General features: G+C 34.4%; 1 protein-coding gene across 29 annotated transcripts in view; it reads right to left on the reverse strand.

Moving 5' to 3' along the window:
• The window catches only part of SCAPER (S-phase cyclin A associated protein in the ER), a 557,437-nt gene that overhangs the window by 403,731 nt on the left and 129,670 nt on the right, over positions 1-24,036 (reverse strand). For 16 of the 29 annotated variants that reach the window (NR_148227.2, XR_007064448.1, XM_011521653.4 and 13 more), the window contains 7 exons: positions 23,221-23,483; positions 20,090-20,320; positions 15,284-15,454; positions 13,929-14,004; positions 13,703-13,820; positions 13,327-13,438; positions 2,174-2,314 (listed from right to left, as the gene is read on the reverse strand). Coding sequence is in view for 27 of the 29 variants with exons in the window: in XM_011521653.4 (XP_011519955.1) it covers positions 2,174-2,314; positions 13,327-13,438; positions 13,703-13,820; positions 13,929-14,004; positions 15,284-15,454; positions 20,090-20,320; positions 23,221-23,483 (1,112 nt within the window). In the remaining 2 variants the exon portion in view is untranslated. The remainder of the gene's footprint in view (positions 1-2,173; positions 2,315-13,326; positions 13,439-13,702; positions 13,821-13,928; positions 14,005-15,283; positions 15,455-20,089; positions 20,321-23,220; positions 23,484-24,036) is intronic. The other 13 variants (XM_017022273.2, NM_020843.4, NM_001353012.2 and 10 more) reach the window with 1 other exon arrangement.

A 24,036-nucleotide genomic window follows, 5' to 3' on the forward strand; every position in this document is an offset into this window, starting at 1 on the left:
GCCTTTTCAGCAAATGGTAATGGGAAAACTCGACAGCCACATGGCAAAAAATCAAGCTAAACCTTTACCTAACACCACATACTGAAATTAACTCGAAATGGATCAATTACCTAAATATAAGATCTAAAGCTATAAAACTCTTAGAAGAAGACACAGGATCAAAGTGTCACGACACTAGATTTTGCAATGATTTATTGGATATGACACCAAAGTCACAGGCAACAAAAGAAAAAAACAGACAAATTGGACTTTGTGAAAATTAAAACATTTTGCATGTCAAAAGATGCTACTGTCAAAGTAAAAATGCAACCCACAGAATGGGAGAAAACGTTTGCAAATCATATCTTTGATTTAAAACAAATTGATATCAAGAATATATACAGAAGTCTTAAAACTCCACAATAAAAAAAAAAAACTCAATTCAAGAATGTGAAAAGGATTTGAACAGACATTTCTCCAAGAGGATATACAAATGGCCAATAAGCACATGAAAAGATGCTCAACATCACTAATCATTAGAGAAATGCAAATCAAAACTACAACGAGATACCAAATAACACACATCAGAATGACTACTATCACAAAAACAAAATGATGGGAGTTAGAGAGGATATGGAATAACTGGAACCCTTGTGCACTACTGATGGGAATATAAAAATGGTGAACTACATGTAGAAAACAGCATGGTGATTCCTCAAAAAATTAAAAATAGAATTACTGTATGATCCAGCCTTTCCAATTCTGGGTATATACCCAAAAGAATTCAAAGCAGGAACTGGAGAGTTATTTGTACACCCATATTTACAACAGCACTGTTCACAATAGCTAAAATGTAGTAATAACTCAAATGTCCATTGAGGTATGAATGGATAAGCAAAATGTGGTACATACATACAATGGAAAATTACTCAGCCTGAAAAGGGAAGGAAATTCTAACATATGCTATAACACTGAAGACCTTATGCTAAATGAAATAAGCCAGTCACAAAAGGATAAAATTACACCATATCATTCCATTTACAAGAGGTACTTACAGTAGTCAAAATCATAGATCTAGAAAGTAGAATGATGATTGCCAGGGGCTGGGGGTGAGAATGAGGAGTTACTGTTTAATGAGTATAGAGTTTCAGTTTTACAAGATGAAAAAGAGTAATGAAGATACATGGTGGTGATGACTGCATAACATGAATGCATTAAAACCACTGAATTGTATACTTAACAATGATTCAGATGATAAATTTTACATTATGTTTTTCCCACAAAAAAAATAGGAAAAAAATTAGACTCTATACATGTATTTAAAAAAAATGACTCAAATTAAAATGTGTAACTGTGTCAAGTGCTGGTCAGAATATGGCACAACTAGAACTCTCATTCACTGCTGGTAGGAATGTAAAATATTTAACTAGTATGGAAAACCATGTGTAAAACTTAAACATGAACCTATTGTAAGATGCTATACACCAATCCACTCCTAGGTTTTTATAAAATAAAAATGAAAGTACACATCTGCACAAAGATGTATACATGAATTGCCACAGCAGCTATATTTGTAATAGAAAAAAACTGGAAAGAAAACACATGTCCATCAACAAGTGACTGGGTTAACAAATTATGGTATTTCCATACGTAAAGAAATGGAATGACCCAGCAATGAAAAGAAAGGAGCTATTCACACACACAACAGGATGGATGAAGTTCAAAGTAACTGTTATGAGGGAAAGCCAGAGAAAACAATAGATACTGTATGATTCCATGCACATAAGTTCTAGAAAAAGCAAACATCTATACTGATAGAAAGCAGATCAGTAATTAGATAATAGAGTTGAATGAAGGAATGAATTACAAAGAGGAATTGTGTATTATGTTCATTGTACTGATAGTTTCAAGGATATATACATGTCAAAACTCATCAAATGGAATACTTTACATATGTGCTGCTTATTCTCTATCAATTATACCTTTACAGGGTTGTAAAAATAATAATAGATGGCTCATAGAATTATCAAAGGGATAAAATATTGCACCTGGTAAGTTTTAAATGAGTGTGTAAAATGCTGTTATTCTACAACAGAATAAACATTGGATAAACATTATCTTCTATTACTATTATATAACAATTCAAAAAAGTACTTGGGTAATTAAGTCAACATTTAAAGCTCTTATGATATACCTTAGCTTCTTCTTCTTGTGCTTTTTTCACAATTGCTTGTAACTGCACTTCTCGCTTAAACTCAGCATGAAGTAATTTTTCTTCCATCATCCTGCGTCGTTGATCTAGCAATTCTTCCTTCCACTTCCGGACATCCTTCTCCTACGTATAGTGAATCATCACATCCTTAATTTCAATATATACAATCATTTAAAAGAAGTACAAACAAGTAAATGGCTTATGAAATATAAACTCTAAGCGTGGAAAAATGTGCAGCAACATGACTAACAATTAAGGACACAGACTATGAAGCCAGACTACCTGAATTCATAATCTACATTGGCCACTTACTAGCTGCATAATCTAGACAACTTTTTTAGCCTATGTCTCAGTTTCCTTACCTATAAACAGGAAATAAAAATAACATTACCTAACTCACAGGATTATTTGAAGGTTCATAAAACTCTCAGAACAGTGGCTTAGACATGCCTCTACAGAAATATTTGCTATTATTCTTGTACTGTTACCATGAGTATGTTTAAAATGAATATAGTGTATAATTCTTGTCCTTATAAATGTTAACATCTCTATGATGTAACCCACATTCAAGAAAAATAAGTAATTTTATCCTAGAAACTGAAAAATGACATCTAACAAATCACATTATTTGCATAAGAAACATTCTCTGAAGGAACAGAGAGGGTTTCACCTACAAAAAAAGATAGATGTAGTAATTGCTATTTGATGTTATTTTAAGAAATTAACCCTTAAAACTTTAATTCCTTAAAACAATCTCAAACAGAAGAAGCAAAAGCTTGTTCTGTGCTCCAGGAAATAAGATTCAGCACCAATGAAAATAAATTATAGAAAATCAGAAGATGGGTCAATATGAGTGGAAAAAACCTAACATTTTAATTGTTTTTTTCTCTCAATAATTGTGTTGAACCATCCAAAAAAGTATGATACAAAAATAGCACTATACTAAGAGCCAGATGACATGTCCTTAAAGCCTTAGCTCTGCAAATTATTGGTTGTGTAACACTAGAAACAACACTTAGCCTCTCCTAGATTGTTTTTACTTCTATAAAATGAGGTTCAGTACCTGCCCTGTGTACATCATAGAGTTATTGTGGTGATCTGATGATATTACTCATGTGAAACAGTGTTGAAAACAATAATCCATCATACAAATGGAAGATGAAAGTTGCCATTAAAATTAATTGAAGGGATACCTACATTGATGAGAAAATAACCAGAAAACATCTAAAGTCTTGTATACTTTCACTAATCTATGATTTTCTTGCATGAATACTTGGAGATCATATTTAGATAAAAGAAAATACACTATAATTTTGCTGGCATTAAAAAACACAGTAAGAGAAGAACTGTGATTGTGTTAGAGCACTTCTCTTAAGCTAAAATTAAAATAATACATTGACTCTTGCAGAACCCCACAAGAGACTGCTTTTCATATCAAATCTATTCATCTAATGACAAATTCTTGAGATTCAAGTAAAAAGAAAAATCAAAGAATTTTCTTACAGTCCTAGTCAACTTTACTACTGTATTCAACAGAATCGTGTGCTACCTAACGCATTTTTATGAACATTCAGATTATGTGGTCCAACTATTTCTCCCAAATTTAAATCACACACTAAAAGTAATCCAAATAATATGCTTAACCCATGCATATTTATATTCCTTTCTAATACCAGAAGGTAACGAAAGAGTTCACCTGTAATTACAATATAGTGGCCATATATCTTTCAACATGCTGTGTTAGGTACTTGTAGTATGGAGCCTCTGAGATGGTGCCCACTAATCTAAGCCACCTGGTTTTAAGATCCTTATGTAATCTCCTCCCATATTGTATCAGGACTGTGACCAAAAGAATACAGCAAAAGTGATGTTATAAAACTCAGCACAACTTCATTTTATCAACTCTCTTAGGTACTTTTTCCTTTCTCTCCCCCACTCTTTCTCTGATTTTCTATGGAGAAATCACTGGCCATGTCATGAAGACACTTGGGCTGTAGAAAGGTATACTTGGCAAGAAAGTGAGGTTTCTGGCCCACAGCCAAAGGGGAACGAAGGCCAGCAAATAACTGCACAAATGAGTATGGAAGTGGATCCTCCAGACCCAGATGACTATGACCTGACTGATAGCTTAACTAAAAATTCATCAGGCCAGGAGCAGTGGCTCACGCCTGTAATCCCAGTATTTGGGAGGCAGATAACTTCAGGTCCGGAGTTCGAGACCAGCCTGGCCAACATGGTGAAACCTCGTCTCTACCAAAAATATAAAAAATTAGCCAGGTGTGGTGGTGCACGCCTATAATCCCAGATACTCAAGAGGCTGAGGCAGGAGAATCGCTTGAACTCGGGAGGTGGAGGCTGCAGTGAGCCGAGATTGTGCCACAGCACTCCAGCCTGGGCGACAGAGCCAGACTCCGTCTCAAAAAAAAAAAAAAAAAAAAAAAATCATCAAAGACCCAGGGCAAGAATGATGGCCAGGTATGATGGCTCATGCCTGGAATTCCAGTGCTTTAGAAGGCCGAGGTTAAAGGATTGCTTGATGCCAGGAATTTGAGACCAGTCTGGGCAACATGGCAAGACCCTGTCTCTACAAAAAAATTAAAAATTTAACCAGGCAAGATGGCATGTGCCTGTAATCTTGGTTACTCAGCAGGTTGAGGCAGGAGGATGGCTTGAGCCCAGAAGTTCTAGGCTGCAGTGAGCTATGCTGCATCACTGCACTCCATGCTGGGAGACAGAGCAAGTCCCTGACTCTAAAAAAAAAACAATAGAAGAATCATTATGCAATTCCTGGTTGCCTTTTTCACAGAAAAATGTGAGCTGATAAATGTTTGCTGTTTTAAGCTACATTTTTCTGTCATTTATAATACAGCATAGATAACACAGTACTCAGTTATAAGAGTGACTGTATATTAAACAACATCCAACCTAGCACTGTTACTATTTTACATGCTTGCCTCATTTAAGCATCACAACAGGTTAATAATTATAATTGTCATTTTTCAGAAAAAGAAACTGAAATACAATAATGTTAAGTAACTTGCTCAGGGAATCATAGCTTATTATATGATAAAATCAAGATTTAAACTTGGTTGGCTATCTCCAGAGCCCATGTTATTTCCACTTACCGCAATGATCAATAGTTATTCTGCTCTAAATACACAGACTCTCTTCTGTAAATATAATTAGTGCCCCACCCACTTACCCAAACTTGATCATCTTTCCCTGATGTTGAAAATAATGGTTTTCCTCTTCTAATCAGTTTATATCCCATTACATTCATAGACTTTCTAATGAAGGAATATCTTTGAATTCCAGGAATAAACCCAATGTTTCCTATGTTTTCAGGTATTTTGTTTTTTGTTAACTACAGTCATGATGTTGTACATTACCTCACCAGAAATTATTAATCTTGCATAAGTCAAACTGTTGTACCCTTTGACCAATATCACTCCATCTCCCCTCTCTGCTTCTATGAATGTGACTTTTTCCCATATTCCACATAGAAGTGAGATCATGCAGCATTTCTCTCTCTCATTTCACTTAGCTTAATATCCTCTAGCTCCATCCACGTTGTCACAAATGTCAAAATTTCATTCTTCTTAAGGCTAGATAATATTCTGTTTTATATATACACACACACACACACACACACACTCAAATATATACCATATTTTTCTCATTTGTCAGCAGACATTTAGGTTGTTTCCATATCTTGGCTATTACGAATAATGTTACAGTGAACATGGGTGCACAGGTATCTCTTTTTGATCCAGATTTCAATTCCTTTGGATATATACCCAGAAGAAGAACTGCTGATCGTATGACAGGCTCTATTTTAATTTTTTGAGGAAATTCCATATTGCTTACTATAATGGTTATACTAATTTACATTCCTACCAACAGCATACAAGGGTTCCATTTTCTCCACATCCTCCCCAATACTTGCCTCTTGTCATTTTGATAATAGCCATCCTAACAAGTGTCAGGTGATATTTCACTCAAGTTCGATTTCCATTTCCCCTGATCATTATAGATGCTGAGCACCTTTCCATGTACCTGTTAGCCTTTTGGATTTCTCCTTTTGAGAAGTGTCTCTTTAAGTCCTTTGCCCATTTTTGAGTCAGGCTGTTTTCTTGCCATTGAGTTGTGTGAGTACTTCAAATATTTTAGATATTAATGCCTTATCTATTTTTTACAAATATTTTCCCATTCCATAGCTGTCTTTTCATTTTGATAATTTTTTCATTTGCTCTATAGGTTTTTAATTTGATATAATTCCACGTGTCTAATTTTGCTTTTGTTGACTGTGTTTTTCTGTCATATTCAAAAAATTATCACCAAGATCAATAAGGTTTTTCTGCAAGTTTTTTTCTAAAAGTTATATGGTTTCAGATTTTATGTTTAAGCCTTTAATCCATTTTGAGTTGATTTTTATGCATGGTGTAAGATAAGCATCCAATTTCAATCTTTTTCACGTGGATACCCAGTATTCCCAATACCCTTTGTTGAAAAGATTATGCTTTCCCCATTGTATGTTCTCAGCATCCTTGTCAAAGACCAGTTGCCCATAATTGCATAGGTTTATTTCTGGGTTTTCTATTAAGTTCCATTGGTCTGTGTGTATGTTTGTATGCTAGTGCCAAATTGTTTTGATTACTATACTTTTATAATAAAATTTAAAGTTAGAAAGTGTTATGACTATAGCCTTTGCTCTTCTTGCTCAAGATGACTTTCAATCTTTGGGGTCTTTTGGAGCTCCATATGAATTTTAGGACTGTTTCTCTATTTCTCTAAAAACAAATGGTTGGGATTTTGACAGAGATTGCACTGAAATTGTAGATCACTTAAGGCTGTATGGACACTCTAAAAATATTAATTCTTCTAATCCATGAACAGGGATATCTTTCTATTTACTTGCTGCTTTAAATTTTCTTTCATAAATTTATAATTTTCACTATACAAGTGATTCAACTCCCTGCTTAAGTTAATTCCTAAGTATTTTATTCTTTTTGTTGCTAATATAAAGAAAACTGTATCCTTAATTTCTCTCTCATATAGTTCATGGTTAGTGTATGAAAACCCCACTGATTCTTAAGCATGTTGATTTTGTATCTCTAAACGTTACTGAATTCATATATTATTTCTCAAAGTTTTTTGTGGAATCTTTAAGGTTTTCTATATTTATGATGTTATCTACAAATAGATAATTTTACTTCTTTCCCTTCCCATATAATGCATTCATTTCTTCTTCTTGCTTTTCCCAGTATTTCTAGTACTATGTTGGAGAGAAATGGTAAAAGTGGGCATACTTGCCTTTTACCAAATCATAGAGAAAAAGCTTTCAGTTTTTCCCAATTATGATGTTAACTGTGGGTTGTTCATATATGGGCGGTCTTAGTCTGTTTTGTGTTGCTATAACAGAATATCAGAAACTAGGTAATTTATTAAAAAAAGAACTTTATTTATCGTATAATAGTTCTGGAGACTGGAAGTCCAATATCAAGGTGGTGGCATCTGATAAGGTTCTTCTTACTAAATCAACCCTGGAGGAAAGGAAGAGGGCAAAGGGTGGCATGGGCACTATGGGGAGCTGAATCCAACCTTTTATAAGGCACCCACTCCTGCAATAAGAACCCACTTCCACAATAATGGTATCAATCCATTCATAAGAGCAGAGGCAATATAACCTAATCTCCTCCTAAAGAACCCACCTCTTAATATTGTTACAATAGCAATTAAACTTCATTATGTGTCTTGGAAGGAATAAACATTAAAACAACAGCATTGGCCTATATTGTGTGGAGTAAAGTTCCTTCTATACCTAGTATGTTGAGGGTTTTTTCATGAAAGGATATTGAACTTTGTCAAGTGTTTATCCTGCATCTGTTGAAATATTAGTGTGTTTTTTGTCTTTCATTGTATTCATGTAGTATATTGCATTTATAGATTTTAGTATATTTCACCATACTTACATTCCAGAGATAAATACCACTCAATCATGGTATGATTGTAGATGTATTCTTGAATTTGGTTTGCCAGTATTTTAAAGAGGATTTCTGCATCTATGTTCATCTGGAATACCGGTCTGTAGTTTTCCCCTTTCTTGTGTTTCTATCTAGATTTGGAATCAGAGTGATGCTGGCCTCATAATACAAGTTTGGGAGTTGTAAGAGATAGGAAAAACTAAATTGTTTTTCCTACTCTCACATACAACACAATAACAATTCTGTTCACCAAGATTTTTATGGGGTTTTTCTCACACTGACCACTTCTCTGATGCCAGCTAGCTGTCATATAATTCAATCCAATTCTGACATTATCTACCTGGTCCCGCAGATTAGGGGCTCAGTCCCACAAGACTGCCCCCACAACTTCAGATGCTAATCACAAGTCCCAAGTTCTGACCCATACTTCTGACAAACCAGCTATAAAATTGGGGTTCTCACAACTGTCTCCTCAAGTTTGATTAATTTGCTAGAGTGGCCCACAGAACTAAAGGAAACACTTTACTTACTATTGCCAATTTATTACAAAGGAACTTTTAAAGGATGCAGATAAACAGCCAGATGGAAAAGATGCCTAAGGCAAAGTGTGAAGAAGGGACACGAAACTTACATGCCCTCTCCAGGTGTGCCACCTTCACATGTTTAACAACCCAGAAGCTCCCCAAAGTCTGTTCTTAGGATTTTTCATGGAAGCTTCATTACAGAGGCATGATCTATTAAATCACTGGCTTTGGCAATCAACCAAACCTGGAGGTTGAAGTTCTGGTAGCCAGCACCAATTCTGAGGCTATTCAGGACACTACCAAGAGTACCCTTATTACAACAAAAGATGCTCCTATCACTCAGCAAAGCCCAAGGCATTTAGGAACTCTGTTTCAGATGCTCTTATCACTCAAGAAATTACAAAGATCATAGAAGTTATCTGTTGGGAACCAGGGTCAAAGATCACATATTGGAAAAACAATATTATCCTAGTGCTTCTATCTACCAGAGTTTTAGGAGCTCTATGTCAGGAACCAGGGGCAGAGACCAATATAATATTTCTTATTTCACAAAAGTGTTCCCTCTTCTTTTATTTTTCAGAAAATTTCAAGAAAGGTTGGTACTACTTCTCCTTTATATGTTTCATAGAATTGATCAGTGAAGCCATCTGGCCCTAGGCTTTTTTTGTTGGTTTTTGATTACTGATTCAATCTCTGTATTTGTTATTGGTCTGTTTAGGCTCTTTATTTCTTCTTGATTCAGTCATGTTGGGTTGTATATTTCTAGGAATTTATCCACTTCTTCTAAGGTTATCCAATTTGGTGCCATAGAATTATTGATAATAGTTCTTTATGATCCTTTTTGTTTCTCTGTTATCCATTGTAATGACTCTACTTTCGTTTCTAATTTATTTGAGTCTTTTTTTCTTAGACTAGCTAAGAGTTTGATTTTTTTCTTTCCAACAAACCACCGTTTTGTTGATTTTTTCCCATCGTTTTTCTCTTTTGCATTTCAATTATTTCTGCTCTAATCGTTATTTCTTTCCATACAGTAACTTTGGGGTTAGTTTTGTTTCTTCTTTTTCTAGTTCTGTGAGTTAGAAAACTAGTGTAGGCATTTATTACTATAAACTTCCCTCAGAGTCTTGTTTTGCTACATCTCACAAATTTTAGTGAGTTATATTTGTTTTCATTTGCTTCAAGGCATTATTTAAATTCCCCTTTATTTCCTTTTACCAAATAGTTGTTCAACTGTATGTTTAGTTTTCACATTTTTGCTAATTTTCCTATTTTCTGTTATTGATTTCTAGATTCATTCCACTGCGGTCTAAAAGATATTGGTATGATTTCCATCTTCTTAAATTTCTAAAGACTTGTGTTGTGACCTAACACATGATCTATTCTGAAGAACGTTTCATGCGCACTTGAGAAGGATGAGTATTCTGCTGATTTGGGGGTAGAAAATCCTGTACATATTTCTTAGGCACATTTAGCGTATACTGTTGTAATTCAGCTGTTTCATTACTGATTTTCTACCTGGATATTCTATCCATTATTGAGAGTGGACCACTGAAGTCTCCTACTGTTATTGTATTGCTGCCAATTTCTCCCTTCAGATTTGTATTTGTTTTATATATTTATGTGTTAGGTTGCTGGGTGCAAATATATTTAAATTGTTGTATCCTCCTGTTAAACTGAATCTTTTATCATTATTTAATGGCCTTCTTCCTCTCTAGGGACACTTCTTGTCCTAAAGTCTGTTTTGTCTAAGTTTAGCCACTTCTGCTCTCTTTTGGTTACAATTTACATGGAATAAGATATTCCTTCGTGTTCAGCCAAGTCTGTTCAAGGCAGCATATGGTTGGGTATGTCTTTTTTTAATTCACTGAGCCACTCTATGCCCTTTGATTGGGGAGTTTAATCCATTTACACTTGAAGTAATATTAACAGTAAGTACAGATTTATTACTGCCATTTTGCTACTTATTTTCTCTTTGTTCTGCAGGCTTTTGTTCCTTACTCTATTGCTATCTTCATTTGTTATTTGATTGTGGGCTTTTTTTTTTTTTTCTAATGGTTTGGTTTGATTTCTCTTTAGCATTTGTGTATTTACAATAGGTTTGCCCTTGTGGTTACAACTGTCTACTTTAATTTGATGTCTACTTTAATTTAATTTGAATTTAATTTAAATTCAATGGCCTACAAAACTCTGCACTTTTACCTACCATTACACTATGTGTTTTTGAAGTCAGAGTTTACTATTTTTCATACAGTGAATCCATTATCAATTTTTTGTCATTATACTTACCCTTAATACCTTTTTGTCTTTTAAGTCCCCTCCCCCACTCTACCTTAGTAACAGGATGCGGCTCTATTTCCCAGGCTGCAGTGCAATGGTGCAATCCTAGCTCACTGCAGCCTCAAACTCCCAGGTTCAAGCGATCCTTCTGCATCAGCCTCCCAGGTAGCTGGGACTACAGGTGCCTACCACCATAACTGATAATTTTTTTGTTGTTCCTTATTTTTGTAGAGATAAAGTCTTGCTATGTCGTCCAGGCTGGTGTGAGACACCTGGCCTCATGTGATCCTCCCACCTCAGCCTCCTAAAGTACTGGGATTACAAGTGTGAGTCACCACACACAGCCTTCTTTAAAGTTTTATATTGGGGTTACCAGTTATTTCTGTACCACCCTTACAGTATTATGTTATTCTATATTTGACTGTACATTTACTCCTGAGCTTTACATACTTTCCTTCATACGCTTTTACATTGGTGTTTATCATTTTTTCTATTCCATTTAAAGAACTCCATTAGCATTTCTTCTCAGGCAAGCCTAGTGATGACAAACTCCCTCAATTTTCATGTGTCTGGGAAAGACTTTATCTCCTTTCCATTTTTAAGGATAGCTTTCCAGGGTATAGTAATCATGGCTGGCAGGGTTTTGTTTTTTTCTTTCAGTACTTTGAATGTAACATCCCATTATCTCCTAGCCTGGAAGATTCATGTTGAGAAATTCACTGATCATTTCTGGGGTGGGGGGTGGTGGGGGGGCAGGTTTCCCTTGTATGAGATGAGTTGCCTTTCTCTTGCAGCTTTCAAAATTCTGTCTCTTGAGTTTTGACAATTTAATTATAATAAGTCTTGATGTAGACTTCTTTAACTGTTGTGGGGTTCTATGAGCTTGAGTCTGGATATCTGTTTTGTTCTCCATATTTAGGAAGTTTTGGGTTATTTCTTTAAAAAAAAAAAGGCTTTCTGCCTGCTTCTCTTCAATCCCTATAATGCATATATTCATTCAATGACAGTGTCCCATAAATCCCAGAGGCTTCCTTCATTTTTTTCATTCTTTTCTCTCCTCTTACTGGGTAATTCCAAATGACCTGTTTTCAAGTTCTCTTGATTCTTTCTTCTGCTTCACTGAGTCTGTTGCTGAAGCTCTCTACTGCATTTTCTAGTTTCTTCAGTGTATTCTTCACCTCTAGAATTTGTTTGGTTCTTTCTCACGGCTTCACTTTCTTGATGTTCTCATTTTGTTTTTATGTTGTTTTCCTGATTTTGTTACATTATTTATCTGTGTTCTCTCACCGTTCACTGACCTTCAACAGTTATTTTGAATATTTTGTCAGGGACTTCATGGATCTTCATTTGTTTGGGTTGCTTGCTGGATATTTATTGTGTTCTCTTGGTGGTATCAAGTTTTCCTGATTTTTCATGTTCTTTGTATCCTTGCATTGCTGTCTATGCACTTAAAGAAGCAGTCACCTTCTCCAGTCTTTATGGACTGGCTTCAGAAAGGATAGTCAATTGCTCAGATGGGAGCAATGACTTGTGGGGAATGCAGGAGCATACTGTTGCACTAAGCCTACTGGCACACAGAGTGCCAAAGTGCGGGGAAGTACAACAACTCTTGGTTTATATGTATGCATTGGCGTGGCAGCTCAGGGAGCTAGAGTTGGCAATATCAGTAACAGGGCAGTCCTCAGCTCCAAAAGCTACAGGGTGTAGGCAGTGGCTGCCAGCAGCACCTCTGTGTTAAGAAGTGAGCATCCCTGGTAGGTGGGAGCCAAGGCAGGTCGTGGCAGAGGCCAGGTGGAGTTTGGTTGCAGGCATACATGTGGCAATGGGGGCCATGGCCAGCTGTGGCCATGTGTGTGCATGGCTATTTGGCCCACTGCATATGGACATGGATTGACAACAACTGTGGGACAGGGCAGTAGCTTGCATTCCTCTAGCTGAAGGAGTTGGCTGCAGATACATAAACAGAAGTAAAAACCAGAGCCAAGAGCAAGGACCAGGGCTGGCCATGGGCAAACACACTACAAACTGATAGTCTTAGGCTCCAAATTGTCCTACCAGGTCATTCTACACTTTAGACAAACCTCCCCAAGGAAACCCTCCAATGAAAACGGCAAAAGTAGAGCTTTAATAATCCACGCAAACCCTGCAAAATATCAATTTACTAGATAATTTGAAAATGACGATTTTTTAATAGTTAACCTTCTTGGATTCAATAGATTAAAATGCTTTTATTTCCTAGCAAATCTAATTATTTTTATGGTTATTTTAGCTTCTCTCAGACCAGAAGTAGAGTTGAAAATAAGCCCAGCAACTTCAGACTATCATAATTTCCTAAAAAATAAAAACTCACCCTTTCTAACAATTTCTGAAGCTTCAATGTTTTCTCTTCGCGTAACTTTTCCCTTAGCTGCTGTGCTTTCATTTGTTTTTCTTCATGTTTCTTCTTAGATTCTGCAATTGTTCTATTAATACAAACAAATGGACAAGAGACATGAAATGTTTACATGATAAGGCCAGAAAAAGTGTTCTTTAGACTTCATAGTTCTTAAAGTATACAAAACTAATTTTGGCCCAACATTTCGGGAAAGCTTTGTTACTTTTCAATGGATCTGAAACTGTCCTGAAGTAATGTGTCCAAAAATGCCACGTAGCAATTTTATTTAACAGTCAAGAGTGGCTAGTTTCCTTGCTGTGAACCATTTCAAATTAATTTTCAAATGCCAGACCTTTTACGAGAGGGTGAAGAAAGTTTTTCATGCATGTGAATTCCATGCCCTGGAGGTCTAGCAGGTTCTTCTTCTACAATGTCCCCCCAGGATGTATTTTGGCGCCAAGACTCACGAGCTGTTCAGAAAAAAATACTATTATTGTTTAGCCACATAGGTCTATAAAACATTTGAGAACAAACTTTTGAACACTGTACTACACACCCAATATGCATATACACAATACCTTCATAATCTGCAAGGACATCGTTCCAGTCCATGGACATACCACAGAAAGAAACACTCCCACTGCCCATGCTGGCCTAAAATGTAATAAGGGAAGTTGAAAATCAAATCTTTGAACACAATTACAACTTTAGAAAATGAACTATACATGAAAATGTCCTACCTATTGTTAATATATTCTATTTAACCAACAGTTGAAAACCAGGAAAAAGGTACCTACCAGTACAATCAAAATAATTGCCAAGTTAAAATACTACAGCCTATTCATTTTAAGAGCCTAGCAGCCATTAACAGCAGAGACAAATGAAGTAAATTTAAGAAATATATTGGCCTTATCCTATTACTACATAAATGCTAACATATAAAAAGCAAATATTGAAGAATTGAAGATTGTTTGGCATTAAAATTTAATAAACCAATATGTAAAACATTTAAAGTTATTTTATTCTTTAACAAATTCCCATCATTAACATATATATCCTAAGCACTTAGTAACAGAAGGTAGTGTATCATTTGCTCATTTATTTATTTATTTATTTATTTATTTATTTTTAAGATGGAGTCTCACTCTGTCGCCCAGGCTGGAGTGCAGTGGCACGATCTCAGCTCACTGCAACCTCCGCCTCCCGGGTTCAAACTATTCTCCTGCCTCAGCCTCCCAAGTAGCTGGGACTACAGGCACCTGCCACCACGCCCAGCTAATTTTTGTATTTTTAGTAGAGATGGGGTTTCATCATATTGGCCAGGCTGGTCTCGAACTCCTCACCTTGTGATCCACCTGATTCGGCCTCCCAAAGTGCTAGGATTACAGGCATGAGCCACCACACCCAGCCTACTTTTTGTTAATAGAATACAAAAGTAAAATACCTTAGCTTCATCTTCACTTTCTATAAATTATAATCTCAGTAATGTGGAGTTCTTACTTTATGTCAGACTCAATTTTTTAACTTTTTTTTAATAGAGACGGGGTTTTGCTATGTTGCCCAGGCTGGTCTCGAACTCCTATCCTTGACCAATCCTACCGCCTTGGCCTCCCAAAGTGCTGGGATTACAGGCATGTGGCACCACAACCGGCCCAGACTCAATTTCTTGACTGGTAAAATAACAATAACAACTTCTAACTTGTCAACTGTATCATACATGAAAATAGTAATGGTAAAGTGCTAACAAAAGATTTGCTATTGTTTATTGTGTAAGTCTAAATCACCCTGAGAATAATAGTTATGATTACTGAACATGATTTTTAAATAAATAATTCTAAATAGGACTAGATGGACTCCAAGTCTTTCTGGCCCAGATAATTTTGTTTCTAAATATAAATTTTGAATAGTTATGTTAAAAAGTCTAAAAGCTCACAGAAAAATCACTGTCGTTGTCAGTTTCAATGTTAATATCATTGTTTTCTTCAGCTTCAATTTCTCTAGTTAACTGTTCTTCTTCAGCAATAGCACTAGCAATGGCTTCTTCATTGGCCTTTTCTAGACGATCTGCTAGCTCTTCTTTTTTAGCAAGGACTTCTGCCATGGACTATAAAGTTAAAAACACATAAACAAAAAGAAAAATGATCACTTGACTGGAAAGTAATCATTTTTTATGTTCTAACATGAACTCAACAGTATACATAAAATTGTATTGATCTAGAATCATAAAAGCTGGGGTTCCATACAGGCTCATCCACTTACTAGCTGTGTGCCTTAGAAGCTTCTAAAAACCAAGAACCTACTTGGTATTCCATAAAATGGAACAATAATCAATGACTTGCCTTATTTACCAGACAGCTACGTATGAGAAACTGTGAAATTATATAAATAACAGGTAGTGTGAATTTCATTTGAGTGCCAAAATTCAAAACAATTATAGATTGAATATACTCATTAAATATAAAACCGAAATAGTATACTATAATGGGAACATGGAAAGAATATATGCTGTACTGGTGATGATGCTTTCTGAACATACATACACCTAACTTTAAAAAATGCACTGCAAATAATAAAAATATACATGAGATTCATTAATTAATAAATCCTCATGAGAAGCTAAAGATGTATACTAGAAACCCTAAATCAAACACTGAAATAACAAAACAAACATGTGGTTAATAAGCCATCAAAGGTGATAAAATGAAATTATTAAAAAATTAAAAATGGAAGGAAGAACACAAGTCAGAGAAAACAAATAGTAAAATGGTGGATTTAAACAAACTATGTCAATAATTATATTACATGTAAATGTTAACATGTAATAGGCAGAGATTATCAAACTGGATAAAAAATAAGACTGAGCTATATGTTTCCTAGAAGGAAAAAAACAGATTACAAGTAAAAGGTCTATGCTAATTAAAAGAAAGCTGAAGTATTAACATCAGACACAGATTTCAGTGCAAAAAATATCACCAGGAATAAAGAAGACCAATTTATAATAATAAAAGGGTCAATTCATCAAGACGACAAAACAGTCCTAAATGTTTATAGACCTAACAGAACTTCAAAATATATAAGGCAAAAACCTATAGAAATGCAAAAAAATATAAACCTAATGAGAATGTAAAATGATGCAACCACTTTGGAAAGCAGTCTGACAGTTGCTCAAATGGTTAAACATAGAGTTCATATAACCCAACAATTCCACTCCTAGATATATATCCAGGAGAAATAAAAAATGTGCCCACACAAAAACTGTTATGCAAATACTTAAAGCAGTGCTATTCATAATAGCACAGTGGAAACAACCTAAATGTCCATCAACTGATGAATAAATAAAATGTGGTATATTCATTCATTCAGTGGACTATACTATTTGATCACAAAAAAGAACAAAGTACTGAGACAAACTAAGACATGAATGAACCTCTAAAATATGCTAAGAAGTCAGTCACAAATGACCACATATTGCATTTCATTTCTATGAAATGTCTAAAATAGGCAAAATTATATAGAGAGAAAGCAGTGCAGTGGCAGGTGTGGGAGGAGTGAAAGGGAGTAACTGCTAATGGGCACTGGGTTTTCTTTTTAGAGTGATGAAAGAGTGCTAAAGCTGATTATGGAGAATATACTAAAAAACAACAGTAAACTTCAAACAGATGGATTGTATTATACGTAAATTATGATCTCAATACAGTCGTTAGAAAAGAAATAGATCCACAGTTACAGTCAGTGATTTCAGTACCCCTCTTTCAACTGACAGAAAAAGTAACCAAAAAACTAGCAAGGATATAGAAGACCTGAACAATACTATCAACAAAATTGATCTAGGTATTTTCTCAAAAAAAAAAAAAAATATATATATACATGTTCACATAAAGTTGTACACAAAAACGTTCGTGGCATCTTTATTCATTAAAGAAAGATGTAATTCAAATGTCTTTGGGCAAGTGAATGAACAAACATTGTGTTACATGGATAAATCTCAAAATAAATATGTTGAGTGAAAGAAGTCAAGCAAAGCTTACACAATTCAATTTATATAAAACTATCATCAGAGTGAACAGGCAACCTACAGAATGGAGAAAATTTTTGCAATCTACCCATCTGACAAAGGGTTAATATCCAGAATCTATAAAGAACTTAAACAAATTTACAAGAAAAAAACAAACAACCTGGCCAGGCGTGGTGGCTCACACCTGTATCCCAGCACTTTGGGAGGCCGAGGCGGGTGGATCACGAGGTCAGGATATCGAGACCAGCCTGGCTAACATGGTGAAACCCCGTTTCTACTAAAAAATACAAAAAATTAGCCAGGCGTGGTGGCAAGCGCCTGTAGTCCCAGCTACTCGGGAGGCTGAGGCAGGAGAATGGCGTGAACCTGGGAGGTGGAGCTTGCAGTGAGCCAAGACTGCACTACTGCACTCTGGCCTGGGGGACACAGTGAGACTCTGTCTCAAAAAAAAAAAAAAAAAAAAAGAGAGTGAAAGAAAAAAACAACCCCATCAAAAAGTGGGCAAAGGATATGAACAGACATTTCTCAAAAGAAGACATTTGTGCAGCCAACAGACACATGAAAAAATTTTCATCATCCTGCTCATCAGAGAAATGCAAATCAAAACCACATAAGATACCATCTCACACCAGTTAGAACGGCGATCATTAAAAAGTCAGGAAACAACAGATGCTGGAGAGGATGTGGAGAAATAGGAATGCTTTTACACTGTTGGTGGGAGTGTAAATTAGTTCAACTATTGTGGAAGACTTGGTGGGAGTGTAAATTAGTTCAACTATTGTGGAAGACAGTGTGGTGATTCCTTAAGGATCTAGAACTAGAAATACCATTTGACCCAGCGATCCCATTACTGGGCATATACCCAAAGGATTATAAATCATTCTACGATAAAGACACACGCACACGTATGTTTATTGCAGCACTATTCACAATAGTAAAGACTTGGAACCAACCCAAATGTCCATCAATGATAGACTGGATTAAGAAAATGTGGCACATATATACCAGGGAATACTATGCAGCCATAAAAAAGGATGAGTTCATGTCCTTTGCAGGGACATGGATGAAGCTGGAAACCATCATTCTAAGCAAACTATCACAAGGACAGAAAACCAAACACCACATGTTCTGACTCATAGGTGGGAGTTGAACAATGAGAACACATGGACACAGGGCGGGGAACATCACATACCTGGGCTGGTCAGGGGGTGGGGGGCTGGGGGAGGGATAGCATTAGGAAAAATACCTAAAGTAAATGACGAGTTGATGGGTGCAGCAAACCAACATGGCACATGTATACCTATGTAACAAACCTGTACATTGTGCACATGTACCCTAGAATTTAAAGTATAATTTTAAAAAAAAAAGAAAGAAAAGAAAAAACAGTTGTCTCATCACTACAGGAATTCTCTGTAACTCTCCACTTGGGAACTAAACAATAAGGTGCTTATCACCTTATCACCCTTGGTTTGTCAAAACAAAACAAAAAGTATTCTTAACACCTCTAAGAATACACTAATATCCACATTAAAGCAGAATTTATTTTCTTTCAAGTATGCAAATTTGACCCTCAAAATAACCAAAAGGGTTTATGACTCTGCAAGTTTATATATGTGATGAAAATAAAAATAATGAGGTCAGAATTTTTAATTATTTCATGCTTATTTAAGGATGAGAGTTTTCCTCTTTTAAAATTTGATTCTCACAGAATCAAACTGAAAAATATACAATTTGATATACAACTGCTAAAACAAAATAAATGACCAAATTCCACCCCATACAATAAACTCACTACTTATTTGAGCATAATTATGTTCAACATTTAGAAATGTTCATTACTAAAAGACACAAGATGAAAATCAATTGTTCTACCTTATTAAAAGAATCTAAACATTTGTTTTTTGTATTACTATAACCTTTTCCTTTTTACCCTTAAACAACCAATATCAAGTTTCATCTCTACTGTTATTATCCCTATAAAATGTATAATTTTACCTAATACCATGTGTTGTTAAGATCTGTCAGCATTAGGCATTAAATTTTAGAAGAAATTATAGTCCACAGCAGCCTTTAAAAAGTAAAAATTAAGTAATTTTTCACAGCTTTTTATATGTGCCTATTTCTTTGGAAAGCTAGTTTTTAAACAAAGTTAGCATGATTTATTCTGGATTATCCCCAGGTCAAGTATCCTAATACTAAAATGAGCAAAAGGAAGAGATGGGTAGAAATATGTTATCATCCAAAACCATAAATCTATAAATAATCACAAATCAATGCATTTTTAGAGATTCTGGAATAGGGATGGTAAATAAATTTCATCTTAAAGACCAACTCCAAGCAAATGATAGTGGCTGTCTAAAGTACTCTGTTAAGAAAGTTTTTAAAACTAAGTCTAGCAGACACCATTTCCCATCTATCAGAATGCTAGATGTAGCATAGAAGACTTTATTGTTACTAGTTTAGATTCTTAATTCTGGGCTAAGAGCATTTGATCAAATCACATACAAACCAAATGATTTTGAACAAGTCACTTAACTCTCACAATCTCACTTTCTTCCTCTAAAAAATAAGAATCTTAACTATATCAAAAGTTTACCAAAATAATAAAATGTTAAAATGAAATAAATATATAAAAATGCTTTAAAAAGTATAAATCATACAAGTTATTATTATTGGGGTTTATGCTTCTTAAATATACTCAGAATTCTGATAAGTTGTTCTTACCAAGTTAGCAGCACTCACATTTGAAATATCTGAAGGGTCCATTTCATTTTCTATCCTTGCTTTCTCTGCTGGAAATTTTTCTTCATTTACTTGTAAAGGAGGTGTACCAGCTTGCAGCATAACTGAAACACACTCTGTATCAATGTGGACAGCAGATATTTCAGAAGTTCGAACATAATTGTCTCGAATACTGCCAGAATTCTTCACATCATCCAATGTACTCACTGTGAACTAACAAAACGTAGAGAATGAATCAGAGATAATTAAAAAATACCAACTATTCCACTTTAGAAGAAGAGATGATTTTGCTTAACCTATTAACTATGAAGAAGAAGAGGTACTTGACTGGATGACAGAAAATTTACTCATCTTTTTTGTATGTTTCAAGTGTAACAAAAGGACAGGGACCATTAAGCACAAATTTTACTTGCATGCCTACTATGTACTGGGCACTATCCAAAGTTTTCTAAGAAATTAAGCAATTTATATTGTAATTTTCTTGTAGTAGGCCAATTTGTGATGAGTATTTTGTATCCTTCGCAAATGAAATCTAGTCACAAGTATGAGGCATTCATTCACTGTATTATACTCATACAACCAAAAGTATTTACATGGTCTTTTGCAAAGACTGTCTAATATCAAATGAGGACATTCAGTACTTTTGAAAAAATCCTGAAACCAATTTTTACAACAATATATTTGGAGGGCATTTTACACAAAAATATAAAACTTATTCTCTTCAGATAATATTAACATGATCTCAAAGTATCTTTGTTAAAAATTCATATGGTACATGAACCCAATTCTCCGATCTGAAAGAGAAAAGCATGACCTAAGGGTGAAGATTGAAAGCATGTAGTGTCTCATTATGACATTCATACACTTTAGATTTAGATATCTTCCCTATTGTCCTTTAGGAATATTTAATAACAAACCAACAGAAATGTAAATACAATATAAAAAGCAAACAGTGGCTTAGGCTAAATACATACCCATTTTTTAAAAACCTTCCAATTTAGCAGAGTCAAGCCTTTATTTTTACTTTGGACAGAGAAGAGAAACAATAGTACTGTGTTTTCCAATGATACTCTAAGTCAAAGAACTAAAATCTAAAATTATGAATTTAAAACTCCCATCACTTCTTAAATAAACATTAGATAAATGCTGCAGTGGCCATAAACCTCCCCCCAGTTTGATTAATTATTTATACAAATATCAAACTTGGCTAAGTCTCATAAACTACTTTAAAAATTCTACTATTGGTCAGAACTTAAAGTGTCCCAAAGTGTTGATTTTAGCATAAGCCTTATTTAAAGGATATAACATTGTTTATACTGCTATCAACATTATTTATATGTCAGTCGCCATGGTTTATAATCTTCTTGGCAATATTTATATTAGCATTACTTATGTGTACACTACTCAATCCCACTTATTAAAAAACTCAGTATCATTTTTATAACAAAATCAAAGCTAAAATATGAAGTAAAGACATTAATATGCTAATTCCATCTTTAGAATGACAGTGAAGAAAACAAATATCATTAACTTGGCTGCCATCAGCAGTGAACTTTTATACTGAAAAATTTTAGCAATAGTTTACTTGTCAAAAAGTTCTATGTACAGATTATTCCTGAAATCTCAATAGCATATAGGTTTATTCACTACACACATTGCATAATTTTTATACTAAGTTATATTTTTAGCTGAACACAGCAAAAATGCTAGCTGTTGGTTAAGTATTATAAAAAGTAGTTTATTCACTAAGTATCTCTAATGCAGCTTACAACACTAAAGAGTTTCTTAAAGTTACATCCAACAAATGTATACCAATTACTTCCTATGCGTTTAGGACTCTTCCATATTGTTAGAAATTAAAAAGCAACATAAAATACTGCCCAAAAGGAATCTGCAATCTCACACAGGCATAAAACCAATACACATTAAAGAGTTTATAGATCGGAAACAATGTTAAGAGTCATTCTCATCAGTAAAGGAAGATAAGGAATTTGAGGAGCATTTCCAGCTGAAAAAATCCTACAGGTAAAAAGAGAAAGAATTTTAAAAAGCAGATATTATTCTGGACCAAAGATATTACAACCATTTTACAACTGATCTATTTAGTTCCTGTAGTATGATATTTAAAAAAAAGCTCCTATTTTTCATTAGTCATTTTACATAAAATTACACCAACGGAACTGAACCTTTATATAAACAAATACCTTAAAGTATAAACTAGTTCATCAAATAAGTAAAATAAACATCAACTCAACTCACAGAACAAATACTGGGAATATTAACTTTAAGGAATTATGTTAAATATTATTAGCAAATTACACTCAATTTTCAGTAAGTAGAATAAGTTCAAATTTTAACACTGCAAATGAGGCACAAAGACATCACCTTAACCAAGTACTCAAAGTTAATAACAAACCTAACCAAACTGATACCATATGCCTCTAGATGTGACACTAAGGACAATCACTTTATTCCTACCAAAAATGCATAAGCTAAATTGAATTATGGACAAAGGACAATGTACAAAAAAAAAACCCTACAATGTATTCTTCAAAACTATTAATGTCATGAAAGACAAAGACAGGTGGAGGAACTATATCCAATGAAAGATATTAAAGAAACATACCAAATGAACTGAGTAATTCCACACTGGATCCTGGAGGAAATTCTATTTAAAAAAATTATTGGGAAAACTAAAACACTTTAAATATAGACTATAAATTAAATAATACATAGATATCAAATTCTCCAAATTTTATAATTGTAATGTGGTTATATAAATAAATGTCTTTGTTCTTTGGAGATCCATGCTCTAGGATTTAAAGGTGAATGCTTATGATGTTTGCACATTACTCTCAAATGTTAAGCATTTAACATGTATGTGTAATATGTAACAAGAGAAAAGAAAAAATGTGGCAAATGTTAATTTGTGAATGTAGGTGAACAGTATGGGAGGAGTTCGTTGTTCTATTCTTGCCACTTTTCTGTAGGTCTATAGACCTGAAAATTTTCACAGTAAGTTAAAAAATGAAGTACAAAACTAAGACATTCCAGTACACATGTACACATACACCTTTGAAAAAGACAGTAAAAGGATTTTCAGAATGTACTACCTGGGTTTTTTCGGCAAGAGGATGGTCACAAGAGTGTAATGAGTCTTTGGGATGAGATTCTATAGTATTAGAAGTTCCATCTCCAACAAATTGACCTTTCTGTATGCTTTCATCAGGTAAAAGACATACATTTTCTTTATCACTGTCATCCTTTGATCTTGTGGCTTCTGTTGCCAATGAAACTTTTGGCATCACTGCTGTTGATCGAGAACGAATAGGCCTTCCTCTCTGAACGGTCTCCCATCCTTCAGCATCTTTCCGTTCTATGCAATTAAAGTAAAAAACAAATCAAGATTTATTTAGATGATAAAAATATTTGGAAACTCATAGAATAAAAACATTTTCCAATTTAATTCCCAACAAATATAACTAATATACAAACATGAGAGTATTATACAAAATGTATATTTGTATATACATATTTAAATAAATGTATGTATAATTATTCCTACTTTACAAATGACAAAACTGAAATTCAGATTAAGGCTGACCTAAGGCCAGTGAGTAATAATAAATATTTAAATAGTGAATACTATGTGTGAGTACTGTTTTAAGTGCTTTATATATTATATCTCTTTTAATCTTCACAATAATCCTATAAGATCAGTATTATCATACCCATTTAAGCAATGAGGAAACTGAGACAAAGAGAAATTAAGTAATTTATCCCAGATCACGCACAGAGTAAAGGTAATGCCAAAATTCTAGTCTAGGTACATTGGTTCTGGTGTCCATCCCAACGGCCATATAAAAACTGTCTCTTCATCTTTCAGAATCCAAACATCTACCTCCAAAGTCTGAGTTCTTTCCTCCATC

The sequence above is a fragment of the Homo sapiens genome, chromosome 15 (assembly GCF_000001405.40).
Source record: "Homo sapiens chromosome 15, GRCh38.p14 Primary Assembly".
NCBI lineage: Eukaryota > Metazoa > Chordata > Mammalia > Primates > Hominidae > Homo > Homo sapiens.